General features: G+C 42.5%; 1 protein-coding gene and 1 long non-coding RNA gene across 2 annotated transcripts in view; one reads left to right on the top strand and one right to left on the bottom strand.

The window, feature by feature from the left end:
- GNA14 (G protein subunit alpha 14) overlaps positions 1-14,992 on the top strand; it is a 225,244-nt gene that overhangs the window by 123,175 nt on the left and 87,077 nt on the right. The window lies entirely within an intron of this gene.
- Positions 1-14,992, bottom strand: part of GNA14-AS1 (GNA14 antisense RNA 1) — a 79,114-nt gene that overhangs the window by 1,615 nt on the left and 62,507 nt on the right. The window contains exons 3-4 of the long non-coding RNA NR_121184.1: positions 7,604-7,705; positions 7,049-7,126 (exon numbers count right to left, since the gene is read on the bottom strand). This is a non-coding gene — a long non-coding RNA (GNA14 antisense RNA 1). The remainder of the gene's footprint in view (positions 1-7,048; positions 7,127-7,603; positions 7,706-14,992) is intronic.

Raw genomic sequence — 14,992 nt, 5'->3', positions numbered from 1 at the left:
ACGAATAAGTGTGGCTCAATTATAAACTCTACGTACAGAATGTATAATAAGAATAGTAAGTTAAGAATACAGTTGAGAATAGTAAGAACTATTTTTGACTCATGGGCCATGTAAAAAATCCACAGTCCATGAGTGGATTTAATCAGTTGGTGTACTTTGCTGACCCTGGTCCTGGGGAAGCCGTACCATCTCTGTTTTTCCATTTTCTTACCTGTTAAATGAGACATGCTCTGTCTACTTCATAAGCCACTATGAGCAAAAGGAAGTGATTTACAAATTAAATGACCCTCGAGAAACACAAGGTTATTATTGGGGCAGGTTCAAAAATCAGAAATAAGCTCATTTTTTTTATTACTTGTTTAGGTCATTTTCATCAATTTCTTCTCTATCATTTTCCTGTGGCTGTTATTTCTAATAATTTTTTCTCAGAGCTAGTCTTGATTCCAAACATGAAACTGTGACAAAGTACCATGCTTAGGTCATAAAATGATAAACTGATTAGTGATTCAGTCGTATTCAGTGATGGTTTAGGAGGCATGCTATATGTTATCTTCTTTACAAAGTATCGTATGACTTGAAACAATTGGTTAGTTATGTCAGGGAAGAATAAAACTTCAGCTTTTATTTTCACAGTGGTGCAGTCTTCTCATTACTTATTGCTGAGTATTTATTTCTCTATTATCTGCTGTTTTTTCTGTTTGTTTCTGTTTCTTTCAGAGCTGGGAACATTTTCTTATGTATGTAGAAGAGAATTTAAAGTGGTTTTAGAGGGTTTTATTTTAAATGTTAGTGAGATTATTGCTCAGCTAGGCTGTTGAAAGTCTTTGCCTATTACTTGACAGGCCACTTATTAAAGGAAATTTATCGGAAATTTAGTTCCGCATTTGTTTTTTAACTAACATGTTTTTTCAATTAAGATACAGCCTTGAAGATTTTTTCTTATACCTTGCCTGCTTATTTTATTAAAAAGAAATGATTCATATGTATTTGCTCACTCTGTTGATAAACCTTAATTTTTATGAATGTCTCTCAAGAGTGTTTTATGGGAGCAATTTGAATTTATGACTTCTTGAATAAATATTACAAAGGCATTTGCTCAGTGGCAGGGTTCCTAAGTCTGAGTTAGCTTATAACTCATGTTTACTTGTGATGATTTCACAGAAGCCAGAAAAGCATCATAATTTTTGCTGTTTGCAGTCTCTTGAACTTGGGAAGTTCTCATTCTAGGCCTGTCCTACAGTGAAGGAAAAAAATATGAACCCCTTAAAGGTTCTGCAGAATCTGCTTGCATGATGTAGATACAGAATTTCCCAAGGGCAAAGGTCAGCCCTACCTGACATCTCAAAAACACGTTAGTTCCATGTTCAGTCATCTTGAGAAAAAAAGAAGGCCTACAGGCTCTTCACAGCTGACCCTAGCTCCTTCGCTGCCCCTCTGCTCTGCTTAGAGGAGCGCCAAACTACACTGGGGTCATGTTGTATTTGCACGGGACTTAAATTTAATTGTAAGGGCAATCATGACAAGAACCAAAACAGATTTTTTAAAGAAGATTTAATAGTTGATATGGTTTGGATGTGTGCCTGTGCCCAAATCTCATGTTGAATTGTAATCCCCAGTGTTGGAGGTGGGGCCTGTTGGGAGGTGATTGGATCCTGAGGGTGGTTTCTCATGAATGGTTTAGCACCATCCGGTTGGTGCTGTCCTCATGACAGTGAGTGAGTTCTCGTGAATTCTGGTTGTTTGAAAGCGTGTGGCACCTCCTCCCTCCCCAGCCTTGTTCCTGCTCTGGCCATGTGATGTGCCTGCTCCCCCTTCACCTTCGGCCATGATTGTAAGTTTCCTGAGGCCTCCCCAGAAGCCGAGCAGATGCCAGCACCCTGCTTCCTGTACAGCCTCCAGAACCATGAGCCAATTAAACGTATTTTCTTTATAAATTGCCCAGTGTCAGGTATTTCTGTTTAGCAATGCAAGAATGGACAAATACAATAATTAAACGGTAAGGGGATTATTTTGCCTGCCATTCCACTCCAAGTATCTAATTTAGAAGGCAATGTTTCTAGAAGTGTGAGGACTGGATTTGTCTTCAGAAAGCATTTTACTCTTCCATTAGAAGCTTTTGCTGCATTCAAAATCCAGTTGAGTCTATGCACTTGAGCTGTCCAGTCAACCACCACTCTTAAAAGGTTGAATGTTTTTATTTGAATCGACTCACAAGGCCTCTGCGAATTTTGTTTGAAGTTTTTGCAGGTCCTACACTTGGGTAAGTGGATGCCTTTATCACTCAGTCCCTTGGAGTTCCTCCTCTTCCTACTGCTGGGTTTATCAGGCACTAGAACATCCCAAACAATGATTCTCAGTCTTGGTTGCACATTGGAATCACCTGTGGGGCTGCTACGCCAATGCCAAGAGTATCACCCCCACAGGCTCAGAGTTAATGCTCTGGAAGGCAGCCAGAGCATGTGGATTGAGTTTTAGGTCCCTCCCAGGTGATTCTGATTGGGCAGCCAGGGTCGAGAACCACTGATAAATATGTGTCTTAACATAATTTGAAGGGGTTCAATTTGGATTCTGCTTTTCTGTCAACCTTTCCATAGCAGGAAGGGAGATTTCTGGTAATCTTTTCCATGGAGTGACCTAATTAATCTCCACCCAAAGGTAAATGGTGCGGGCAGCATTGACAGTGTCTGTTGTGTTCAGCCGAACTGGGCTGCCTTGGTTAGATTAGCCTTGACAGAATCTCCAGGTGACAAACACAGCAAATGCTGTTTGTTTCCTTTGAGTCTTTCAGGAACAGAGCACAGCCTCATGCCCAGAGTTCCAGCTCTGAGATGCGGATGGGGGCAGAGGAAGAAGCTGCAGCGCATTCTCTCAAGGTCTCATCAATGGCGCCTTCTTGCCTGCCTTCTCCTACTGTTGCTACATAGAAAGCGTAATTTCCTTCTGATGGATAAGACAATCAGAGATGCAGATTGTATTAATAACAGGTTGAAAGCGTAGGCTTTGTTTATAATAAAAATAGCATATGGGCCATGCCTGTAATCCCAGCACTTTGGGGGGCCGAGGCAGGAAGATCGCCTGAGGTCAGGAATTCGAGACCAGCCTGGCCAACATGGTGAAGCCCTGTCTCTATTAAAAATATATATAAAAATTAGCCGGGCGTGGTGGCGCATGCCTGTAGTCCCAGCTACTCTGGAGGCTGAGGCAGGAGAATCGCTTGAATCTGGGAGACAGAGGTTGCAGTGAGCCAAGATCGCGCCATTGCACCCCAGCCTGGGTGACAGAGTGAGACTCCATCTCAAAAAAAATATGTACCATATGATTTTGCTTGTGAGTAAATAAAGACATTATATTAGGAAATTAGTTTGTATTTTTACTAATCATTAATACATATTTTGATTTACTGAGATAATTCATCAAGTATAAAACATAAGCATCAAACATCTAACTTCATATTTAAGCAATCAAGTGTAGTATTTTGGGGGCGGGATCATAGGAGAGTATATTTCTAACACCAGAAAGCCCTTCGATAAGGTCTCACATTTATGCATAAATAACTCCTCCAGCTCCACTTTCCATTCTCAGAAAGTGGAAGGCTGAATTTCCAGGAGAATTTCTTAAGGATGCCTGTGAAGAAATCAGTCAGAGTTCAGTGAAAATGGTTAATTTCTGTCACTTTTTTATTGGAGAGTTTTTCGGGGCTGGGAGTATTTTAAGAGCCTCTTATGTTCTACTTTTTAAAACATCTGTTTAAATAAATTTTTCTGTCCCACTTCCTCATCCAATTTGAAAAATTCAGATTCTGCACGAACCTTTGGGAACACAGAGGCCAATGTTCCAACTTTGGCCGTAGCCCAAGGTTGCTGGTTCTCTGGTGAATGTTAAACTCAGGCCCTGCTTCCCATGTCCTGGTGGGTGTTAAAAATCACATGGTCCATTTTTCTCCTTACCAAGTACTCTGTTGAGCTCTACCTGTTGTCACAACAACAACAACAAACAACAAATTCTCCACCAAAATTCTAGGCAGGAGCTTTTCCATTTATCCCAACAGTTTTCTGATTAATCAGTGTTTACTTTAGTGTGAAAACTGCTGTAATCAGAGCTTGAAATATAAGAGTTTGGAAAATGGGAAAGAATAAGATGGGAAAGAAACTGAACTTTCTTCTTGATTGCCGTCACAATTAAAACACCCACTACCCTTTAAGCCTGAACTGGGATATGAGGAAGTTTGGGAGCCAATGATGAGTAATAACATTGATTTGACCATTCCTTCCCCTACCTCAGAACTGAGTATGCACCTACAAAATCCAAAGAAATGCTTTTAAAACCTAATGAAAAAGGGAGATCCTGTAAAGTTACAAACAATCCAGAAACTAGTGAGGCCATCATTCTATTTGAACACTTATGCATCCGTCCAACACATGTGAAATATTTTTCTGAGTCTTTTAAATTGCAAGCACAGGAGTCTGAGGCAGGAGAATCTCTTGAACCCCGGAGGCGGAGGTTGCAGTAAGCCAAGATGTTGCCATTGCACTCCAGCCTGGGCAACAGAGCAAGACTCCATCTCAAATAAATAAATAAATAAATAAGTATTCAACTTTATATTGCTATCCTAAAATATAAAGGGGAACATTTGAAACACTCTCATAATTCACGTCTTTTGTGAATGTTAGAATCATTATCAGTGATGCTAGGAACATGCTCGTTAGATCCGAAGTCCTTCAGAATTTGCTTTCCCATAGCAGAGCTGTGCCCCAGTTCTCTGGCGATAAAAAGGCGACAGAGGTGTGTCTGTGCTGTTCTTCTTTCAGAATTGCATTTTCTGAACATCCAGTTACTTCACTGATCAATGAATGCCTCAAACATGTACCAAGAGATAAATTCCCCTTTTGGGGTTGTTTTGGAGTCCTGCCAAGGGATTCAGGTGTTCATCTGGTATTAGTGAATTCAGGGGCCGATTTGCTTATTAACTGATTAATAAGCTCTGCAATAGTATCCTAGGCAAACTATTCTAGAAAGCATCCCCTCTGTATTAAAAGTTTTAAAAAAAATAAATTTAAGGGGTGAAAATGCAGTTTTATTGCATGGCTATGTTGCATAGTGGTGAAGTCTGGGCTTTTCTTTTTTTATTTTTACTTTCTTGAGATGGAGTCTCACTCTGTTGCCCAGGCTGGAGCATAGTGGCGCCATCTCAGCTCACTAGAACCTCCGCCTCCAGGTTCAAGTGATTCTCCTGCCTCAGTCCCCCGAGTAGCTGGGATTACAGGCATATACCACCATGCCTGGCTAATTTTTGTATTTTTAGTAGAGATACGGTTTCGCCATGTTGGCCAGGCTGGTCTCGAACTCCTGATCTCAGGTGTGCACCCACCTCAGCCTCCCAAAGTGCTGGGACTACAGGTGTGAGTTACCATGTCTGGTCTGGGCTTTCAGTGTAACCATCACCAAGTAGTGTACATTGTACCCATTAAGTAATCTCTCCTCCCTCACCACCTCCCACCCTACGTAGTCTCCAGTGTCTCTTATTTCATACTCTGTGTCCATGTGTATACATTGTTTAGCTCCCACTTATAAGTGAGAACATGAATTATTTAACTTTGTTTAAAAGCTTTTTTTAAAAAAAATTGGTGGTAGGGAAGGGGACATGTGTTTTAAACGGAATACATTAACTAATCCGATATAAACAAATTGTTAAAAGGTTTTTGGCTTTGGTTTTGTTTTAATTTTTTTTTCTTCTTTTGAGGCAGAGTCTCGCCGTGTCACCCAGGCTGGAGTGTAGTGGCGCAATCTCGGCTCACTGCAACCTCCACCTCCCAGGTTCAAGTGATTCTACTGCCTCAGCCTCCCGAATAGCTGGGAATACAGGCACCCGCCACCACGCCCAGCTAATTTTTGTATTTTTAGTAGAGATGAGGTTTCACCATGTTGGCCAGGCTGCTCTTGAACTTCTGACCTCAGGTGACCCACCCGCCTCGGCCTCCCATAATGTTGAGATTACAGGTATGAGCCACCTTGTCCGGCCTCTGTTTTTGTTTTATCAGTAAACCTGCCTTTAGAGTGAAAAGCATATTCATTAGAAGCTAAGACAGTTTGCTTTTATAACTGATGCTTCTTTTTGACAGCCACAATGTTTTCAGGGAGCTTTGTGACATTGTATCTTGTGTACTTGACCTTGATTTCTGACACCAAAACCCTGTCAGGTTTAATTTAAGATGATCTAAAACTGATGTAAAATATCTTTTATGTTTAACTGCGTATTTTATCTAAATCAAATTTTAAAATAATGGCACTTTCTCTTTTTAAAAAAATGGCATCTGTAATTAGAAGTAAAGATATGGGCTGGTTTGTGTAACTTGGCCCTTTATATGACCTGGTTAGGAAGTTATTTGCTTCTGTGTGTGGGTACACAATTCATTAAAGATAAGAAGATGACTGATTTTTCTAAATTTTCTTTTAAGAAAACACCACTAGTGTTCTAATCATTTGCATAGTTAAGTTGTGGTTGATTGTAAAAAGGTTGATGATAACAGGAATAACTCTGCATGTATTTTGAGTGCCTCTAAGTTAGCTGCCTTCCTTTTATCCTGAAGGCAGTAGAAGTGGTTGAAAGATGGCATGTGGGAGACCATTATGACAGACCAGTGGCAGCCCCTAGTTCTCCCCAAGGCTCTGAACTCCCGATCCCACCCACTGTATCTCTGCTTTGTGTTGATCTAGAATGTCTTCCCAGGTAAGTTGTGTAGAGACTTGCCTTTGCTTTGGGGTTTTATCATCATGATGGTCATTATTTGGATTCACTGATGTGTGGAGCCCTCCACAATGTTAGTAATTACTCCAAATGAGAAAGTTTTTCTTCCAAAGGTCAAGTTAGCTCTTGGTATACTAGAAAGGGACAACAGCTGGCTTGAAGTGAAATTCCTGCCCTGTCATTTTTATCCTCAACAGTTTTGGGTGGCTCCCCAAAACTCTCAGTGTTTTTATTCCCTTCCTCCATTGAGGGCTATGTTGGCTCCTGGTGATATTACAAAATTTAAACGTGTGAGTAACCTACCTTCAGAAGTGAAAAATCACATTCTGCTGTGTCCTGAACAGGCTACCTTTTTCACCAAAGCTTCTTTTATTGGGCTTCCTAGTTAATAAGACACTGCATTAAGTACAATGTTATACATAATATGTCAATATAAGCTGTTTTACTTCATATAATACAAGAGTTCTTTTCAGACATATTAAAAAAGTATGAGGATATGGCCAGGCATGGTGGCTCACACTTGTAATCCTAATGCTTTGGGAGGCTGAGGCAGGTGGATTGCTTCAGCCCAGGAGTTCAAGACCAGCCTGGGCAGCATGGCAATATCCTGTTTCTACAAAAAATATAAAAATTATCTGAGTGTGGTGTGCATCTGTAGTCCCAGCTACTCAAGTGGCTGAGATGGGAGAATCACCTGAGCCTGGGGATGTCGAGGCTGCAGTGAGCCATGATTACACCACTGCACTCCAGCCTGGGTGACAGAGTGATACTCTGTCTCAAAAAAAAAAAAAAAAAAAAAAAAAAAAAAAAAAGAAAAGTACCAGGATAAGCACCAGAAATACACATACATACACATACACAGACTTGCAGTGAAGAACCTGTGTCCTCCAATGTGTGTGGCTTCCAGGTGCGTCCTCACCCTCTTCCTGCTGATGATACCTCTTTTTTGGCACTTTATACCTATTTTTGAAACAATGAATTAATGGGTGGCCCCTCGCTCCCTATTTTTGAAACAATGAATTAATGGGTGGCCCCTCGCTCCCTATTTTTGAAACAATGAATTAATGGGTGGCCCCTTGCTCCCTATTTTTGAATGAATGAATGAATGAATGAGCGGCCCCTCCCTGAAACGTGGGCATCCGCATCTCCTGCACTCCTACACATCTCCACACCATAAGAACAAGCATCTATGGGCAGGAAAGTCCTCACAGAGAGCTCAGGTCGGAAGGGCAGGAAGATGAGGAAGAATTCCCATGATATTTTTCAGGTTGCTTGATTTCTGTTAAATTTGGCGATGAGAGGGTTAAATGATTGGAGGACGATTTTCCCTAACCAACGTGCCATTTCTGTGATTCCTCCACTCTCTCACTAGCAGAGAAAGGTCCAAACTGCACCAGGCACTTGGCTGGCTCTGGCTGTTCACACGTCTGAGTCCAGCCAACAGTGGGCTCTGTGTTAAGGGAAATCAAGAGCCTGTTCTTTTCAACCACGATCCTCACTTTCCCATCTTTAAGAGACAGGTTGTCATTATTGTTGTAAGAGATGTTTTGATTTTATATATTTGGCCAGAGATTACTCTTGTCACTGTCCACAAAGGTGTAACTTGATGTCCTTCCTAACCCCCATGCCAGGTCAAGACCTGTGTTACATTCCCCTGCCCCCTACCGCCCCCCACCCCCAATGGGGTCTCACTCTTTTGCCCAGGCTGGAGTGCAGTGGTGCCATCTCAGCTTACTGCAACCTCCGCCTCCTAGATTCAAGTGATTCTCCCACCTTAGCTTCCCGAGTAGCCAGGACTACAGGTGCACACCACCACACCCATCTAATTTTTGTATTTTTAGTGGAGATGTGGTTTCACCATGTTGGCCAGGCTGGTCTCGAACTCCTGGCCTCAAGTGATCAGCTGCCTTGGCCTCCCAAAGTGCTGGGATTACAGGTGTGAGCCACCATGCCCGGCTGACCTGTGTTACTTTGATTATGAACACCCATCTATGACAGTTTTGCTTCCCTGCCTCCAAGTGAGTGGTATCTCTGCCACTAGAGGTTGATATGAATGACTGATAATGCCAAATAATAATTTTCACCTAGGAAACTTAGACAAGGAGACCTAACCCATAGCAATAGTAGACATTTGATAAATATTTGTTATACGAATGAAATGAATAGCACAAGCTAAGAGTGCTTTCTAAAGATTGGGCCCAAGAGAAGACAAAATGGGCAACTAGTCTGATATTACAAAGCTTCGAGGATTTAATGGTCCATTGCCTTGTGAAGGAGATCCTTGAGTAAAGGTTTCCTGGAGACCTCTAAGTCTTCAGTGACTCTCTGCTTGCGGGTCATGTACCACCTGCCCCTGTTAGTTCCCATCTCTCCCCATAGTGTGAAACTCTGTTACATGGCTGTCTCTTCCTGCTCTGGGTTTTTTTTTTTTTTTTTTTTTTTGTGAGACAGGGTCTTGCTGCGTTGCCTGGGTTGAGTGCAGTGGCATGATCATGGCTCACTGCAACCTCGACCTCCCAGGCTTAAGCAATCCTCCCACTTCAGCCTCCTAACTGGGACTACAGGTGCACACCCCCAGGCCTGGCTAATTTTTTATTTTTTTGTAAAGATGGGGTCTCCCTATGTTGCCCAGGCTGGTCTTGAACTCCTAGACACAAGTGATCCTCCTACCTTGGCCTTCCAAAGTGTTGGGATTACTGACGTGAGCCACAGAAACTGGCACCAGCTCACTCTTGAATTCCTCAAGAGCAATGCTGTATTCCTGTCTGTTTCCTCCAGCTCTCAGACAAAGGCAATGCATAAACAAACAAACAAATACCTTTTGAATTCCAGATGAACACCATTAGAAATCTCAAGTTATTATAACATAGTTTTGGCATTTTAAGGGCGGGGAACCCAATAGCAGATCAACAGCCTCTCTTTTACTATTTTTGCAAGCCTTGTGGTTTTTGGCAGCAGTGGCTGCCCGGCTCTGCCGCATGCTCATTCAGCTTCAACCACAGTGACCTCCTTTCTTTTGGTCCCTGTATTCACAATGCTCCTTCAAGCCCAGGACTTTTCCACATGCTCCTCTCTCTGCTTCCCTTTCCTCTTTGCCTGCCCACGTCTTTCTTGTCCTCCACTAGAATGGAAGATCTATGAAGGCCAAGGTCTATGCCTACTTTTCCCCACCTTTGTAGCTGCAGTGCCTGACATAGATGCAGGCCAGTTTGCCAAAAGCCTATCCACTGAAGAACTCATTCCTGGGGCAAAGGAATGTGATTTTTTTATGAGCCCATGCAGTTGACCTTAAGGCCACATTCTGGCCTTTCTTGAACGTGTCTCTCGCAGTGTCCAGCCTCATTTCCTCTCCCTATTGGATTGTGGTTTCCTGCTTCTCCCAGGCCTCACTGTCATCTCACATCCTCCATCTGCCTGAACGTCCTGAAACTGATTTCCTTTGTACTCATAAATAGCTAACTTCATTTATTTGTCTTAAATAAGAAATCTGGGCTGGGCGCAGTGGCTCATGCCTGTAATCCCAGCACTTTGGGAGGCCGAGGTGGGCGGATCACAAGGACAGGAGATCGAGACTATCCTGGCTAACACGGTGAAACCCCGTCTCCACTAAAAATACAAAAAATTAGCCGGGCGTGGTGGCAGACGCCTGTAGTCCCAGCTACTTGGGAGGCTGAGGCAGGAGAATGGCGTGAACCCGGGAGGCGGAGCTTGCAGTGAGCCGAGATCGCACCACTGCACTCTAGCCTGGGGGACAGAGTGAGACTCTGTCTCAAAAAAAAAAAAAAAAAAAAAAATCTGATATTATAGAAGACTTTCTTTGACACCTTCTTTTTCCACCCACCCACCCTTGGGTTAGATACTCTTTCCAGTGTACCTGTAATGCCCAGTATCCTTCGTATTACATTATAATTCTTAATTTATGCATCTCTCCCACTTCAGACCAAGAGTTCTTTGATGGGGAATCATGTCGGGTTTACCTCTGCATCCCTTCGGGCTCAATAAACGTGAAGTCAATGATATTAAGACGCTGTGTGAAGACAATATTATGAACCCAAAGGTATCTGAGAGATTCATCTAGGTGGTAGTATCCACAACCTCAGAGGACGTGCTCAGCTGTTCTCCCATGGGATAGAATTTTGCCTCCTTGACTATGGGACTGTGATATCGGGCAAAAAGCAACAGGGGTCCACATGGCCATGTTTGTCTTTTTCCAAAGAAATATTTGGCCATTGGAAATATTGCTTCTGAGTTGCAAGATAACCAAAAAGCCTGGCATGGGGCCCTAAACTTAGTTTGGGAAGCTTGGGATTGGCCATGCTTAGCTCTTGGGATGTGTTTGTTGAGCTGCAAATGTACCCTTCCAGGAAAAGTTAAGTCTGTGACAATGACTTCTCAAGCAGAGACACCAGACAGCTGTTTTAGAATCCCTGAGGGCCAAAAAAAAAAAGTGCTGAAGGGAACAATGGCTTGCTTATGAACTAGGAGAGATATTCAATAGATAATACCCTTTTCATCAACCAAGTTTTAAAGAAATTGAGGATAAGACCAAACAGCAAACAATAAGGTGACCAAAATGTATTGTGGTTAATGCTGAAGTATAGAGAGCATGGCTCATAACTGGAGTGAGGACTTGTCCTAAACCCAGAATGTGGTGGACTTAGCTATAAGGTCATCATGTGTTCGGGAAGACTCAGGCCTCACCCAGCAGGGCAGTCCTGTAATGACCTGGAAGAGTGGTGCGAAAGAGAGGAAGGGGCAGAGGCCAGGAGTGTCATGCAATTGCTGTGCCTCCTCACGGAATTATTGAGTGTGTCCCCTGTGTCATAGACCCATCACAGTTGTCTCTTCCAGTACTTCGTGAGCTCCCTAAGGGCAGGGACTGTGTATACTTCTGGGCGCTAAAATGAGTGTGAATCCATGTCAGGCACTCTGTGCCAGTCTTTATTGGAAATATATGATTTTATCTTAAATAGTTCTTCAATGTAGGTACTATCACTTGCCCTGACTTTAGAGATACAGGCACTAAGGTTTGTGGAGGTAAATAACTTTCCCAAGATCACACAAGTAGCAGATGTCAGAGTGGGAAACTGAGCCCAGGAGGCCTGACGTCCCAGGCAGAGCTGCTAACTATTGTTCTGTATGCTTCTTGATGGGTGATTCAAGGCCTTGTGTAGTGTTAGGGTATCATTTAATGATCTGATTATGAAAGTGCTAAATGAGGTGATTGGGGGATTCTCTGTCTTGGATTCTCTATTCCTGGCCTTTTATAAATTCCTTTGTCCCTGGCTGGGATCCAGCTGGCTTACACAACTGTCAGTGTAATCTCTATCAATATTTACACAAGGGGTCATGCCATCAAAGAAACTAGAGAAATATCAGGATTAGTGCTTTCACTGGATAAAGTTTGAGGATTGAAGAACCTTCTGTTGAGTGGATTTGAAATAGTTGCATGGAAAATATTTTTTTATTTTCCTTGAAGAGAAGTAAACAAGCCAGAGATTATTTCAAATTTATTTTGCTAATTGAAACAAAGCATGACAGTGACCTTCGAACCAGTGCCAGTAAAAATCAAATAAAATCTGGATAGTATATTCTGAGAGTGGTCTAAATGGGATGCCTTTTAGCGGGGGTTTGTTCAAATGCTTAAATTTTTAAAAAGAACGAGGTAAAGCTATGTTTATTGATATAAAAAGATTATCAATCTATAACAGGCATGAGAGAAGTGAGGTATAGAAAGAAGTTGATGTGTTTATGAATATCCCTTTGTGTGTGTATGAGATACCTTTGATAAAGAATACATAAATAGTTACAGATATGTTATTTTCTCAAGAAATAAGAAACTGTAAAAATGATTACCTTTGAATGGAGTGGGAAAAGATAATTTCCCTGTTAATTTTTCTGTTCAATTTACTTTTTAAAATGTGGATAGAGATTATTTCTGCAGAATAAGATTATCTCTGCAGAGGTAAGTCATCTTAATTTTCTTCTTTTTACTTCTGTTTATTAAAACATTAAACATAAAAAACCCAAATGCTACATTTTAATTAAAAATAAATATTAGCAGTTTAAAATTAAGATATGAGTAGTAACTTTGAGAAGAGTGACTAAAACTCCTCTAGTCCCTTTAACACTGACTTCAAATCCACATGAAGTTATCCTGGGGGTGTGGAGTGTATAATTTATGTTATTACAGATTTTTGTTAAATAAATCGTATGTTTGTGTTCTGGAAATATTTTTGTGTACATGCCTGTGCTTCTGGGTCTGGATTTGTATGGTTGGAAGGAAACACTGGGCAAAGTGAGGGGGACAGTGGGGGACAGTGGGGGCCAAGCAGGCAGTGGGGGCTCTGTCACCTCGAGCCATTTCCTTCTTAGAAAGCTTGAGGGAGGCTCCAAGGTAGGGCCGGGAGGCAGCCAATACGGAGCCCATGGCGGCACAGGCATGAGGTTATTCATTCATCAAACAGTTATCGAGGGTCTACCTTCTGCCTTTGGGGAGTATCTGTAACATTTTGTGCCAAATTAGAGGCCTTCTGGTTGACTGGACCCTTAAAACACAAGTTCCAAGTTCATTTTGATTGCTTCTCCAGGCCTCCATGTAAATTACATTAGTCACATCAGCAGCTCACTGAGGCTGCAGGAATAGGCCATTTTGTTGACAGAGGCAGACATGGAGGTGGGGATAGATGTGGAGGAGGAGAGAGTGGGGCCAGAAGACAGGCCTCTGGTGAGTGAGGGCTGTGAGGGCGTGTGGTCTGTGCCCACTTGGGATTCTGCCTGGATTATGTTACAGATTTCAACTCCTTTCGCCTGCAAGCTGTTCAGACTCCCAGATTTGCTCATGAGTTTGGTTTCATTCAGATGCGAAAAACACAAGAGGAAAAAGGGGGATGCGTACATTGTCTCTCCTATCTTTGCAGGACACACACATGTGTTACGCTTCCCATTCTCCAACTCAGTGAGGAATAGGCCTCATCCCTAGAGCCTTTAATTGCAGGAAGCTGAAGAATGGGACCCATAGGGAGCAGAGCTGTCCTCTGTTTTCTATGCAGGTTTAGGAACCCTTTGACTGACACTCTTGGAGTCTAAGAGCAAGGTGTATCCCAGGGAGCAAAGTGGGAATTGAAATTGTACCTTTATGGCTAATTAGCTGTGTAACCCAGAAGAACTTGACCAGATGATCTTTAGCTTCTGAACTATAGGGGGAATGGAGGAGCTGTCTTAGAATTGGAGAATAATAAAATGAGGACATTCTGGGATTTCATAAGATGATGGTCACTTTGGGAAGGTTCTCTTAACCTCTACTCCCCTCTGTATTAAAAAAAAATAAAAACTTTTTTTTTTTTTTGGAATGGGAAAATGCATGGTGCCCTATAATCCAGGGGCTTGAGATCCAACTCTAACTGGGCAACTCTAATATGGAGAGAAACTGGTGCCTCCCTCACTTAGCTAGTTCTGAGAGCATCTCTCCTCCCCCACCAAGGGCTGGGCTGCTTCATCACTTATCAAATCATCTTAGACTCATAAATGTCTCCAGGCAACCAGCGTCTTCCCTCTTTTCCCCTTTCTCTGCATGGAAACTTTCCAACCTAACTCCCTACACATCTGTTCTGGGAGCTGCCTCCTAATTATATCCTAGGGGCCTGATACGAAAAGGGCCAAAGGGAACATTCCATCACTTCTCCCAGGGGCATCTTGGGTCGGGGGTGGAGGCTTGCTCCTTGGTGAGATGGCCAGAGGCCATTAACTGGGAACCAAACCTAACTGCCACAGTACCCATCTGAGGGCAGGAAGGACTGTGGGGTACTCCCATCATGTTCAGGCTCATCTGTTTAATGCTTCTTCCTTAATATTGAAATAGAGTCCTCACTGCAACTCATCTCTACTAAAAAATACAAAAATTAGCCGGGCATGGTGGCGGGTGCCTTTAATTCCAGCTACTCAGGAGCTGAGGTGGGAGAATCGCTTGAACCCAGGAGGTGGAGGTTGCAGTGAGCCGAGATTGCACCACTGCAGTCCAGCCTGGGTGACAGAGCAAGACTGTCTCAAAAATAATAAAATAAAGTGTGCAACGTCCATATACTGGAATATTATTCAATAATAAGCGCTGACACAAGCTACAACATGCATGAACCTTGGAAACCTGTGTTAAATGAAAGAAGCCAGTCACATAAGACCAGATATTGTATAGTCCCATTGATCTGAAATTTCCAGAACAGGCAAATCAATAGAGAGAAAAAGAAGACT

This window comes from Homo sapiens, chromosome 9 (assembly GCF_000001405.40).
Source record: "Homo sapiens chromosome 9, GRCh38.p14 Primary Assembly".
In the NCBI taxonomy this organism is placed as follows: Eukaryota; Metazoa; Chordata; class Mammalia; order Primates; family Hominidae; genus Homo; species Homo sapiens.
Note: the sequence above shows the minus strand (reverse complement) of the source record. Positions and strands in the feature narration are given on the sequence as shown.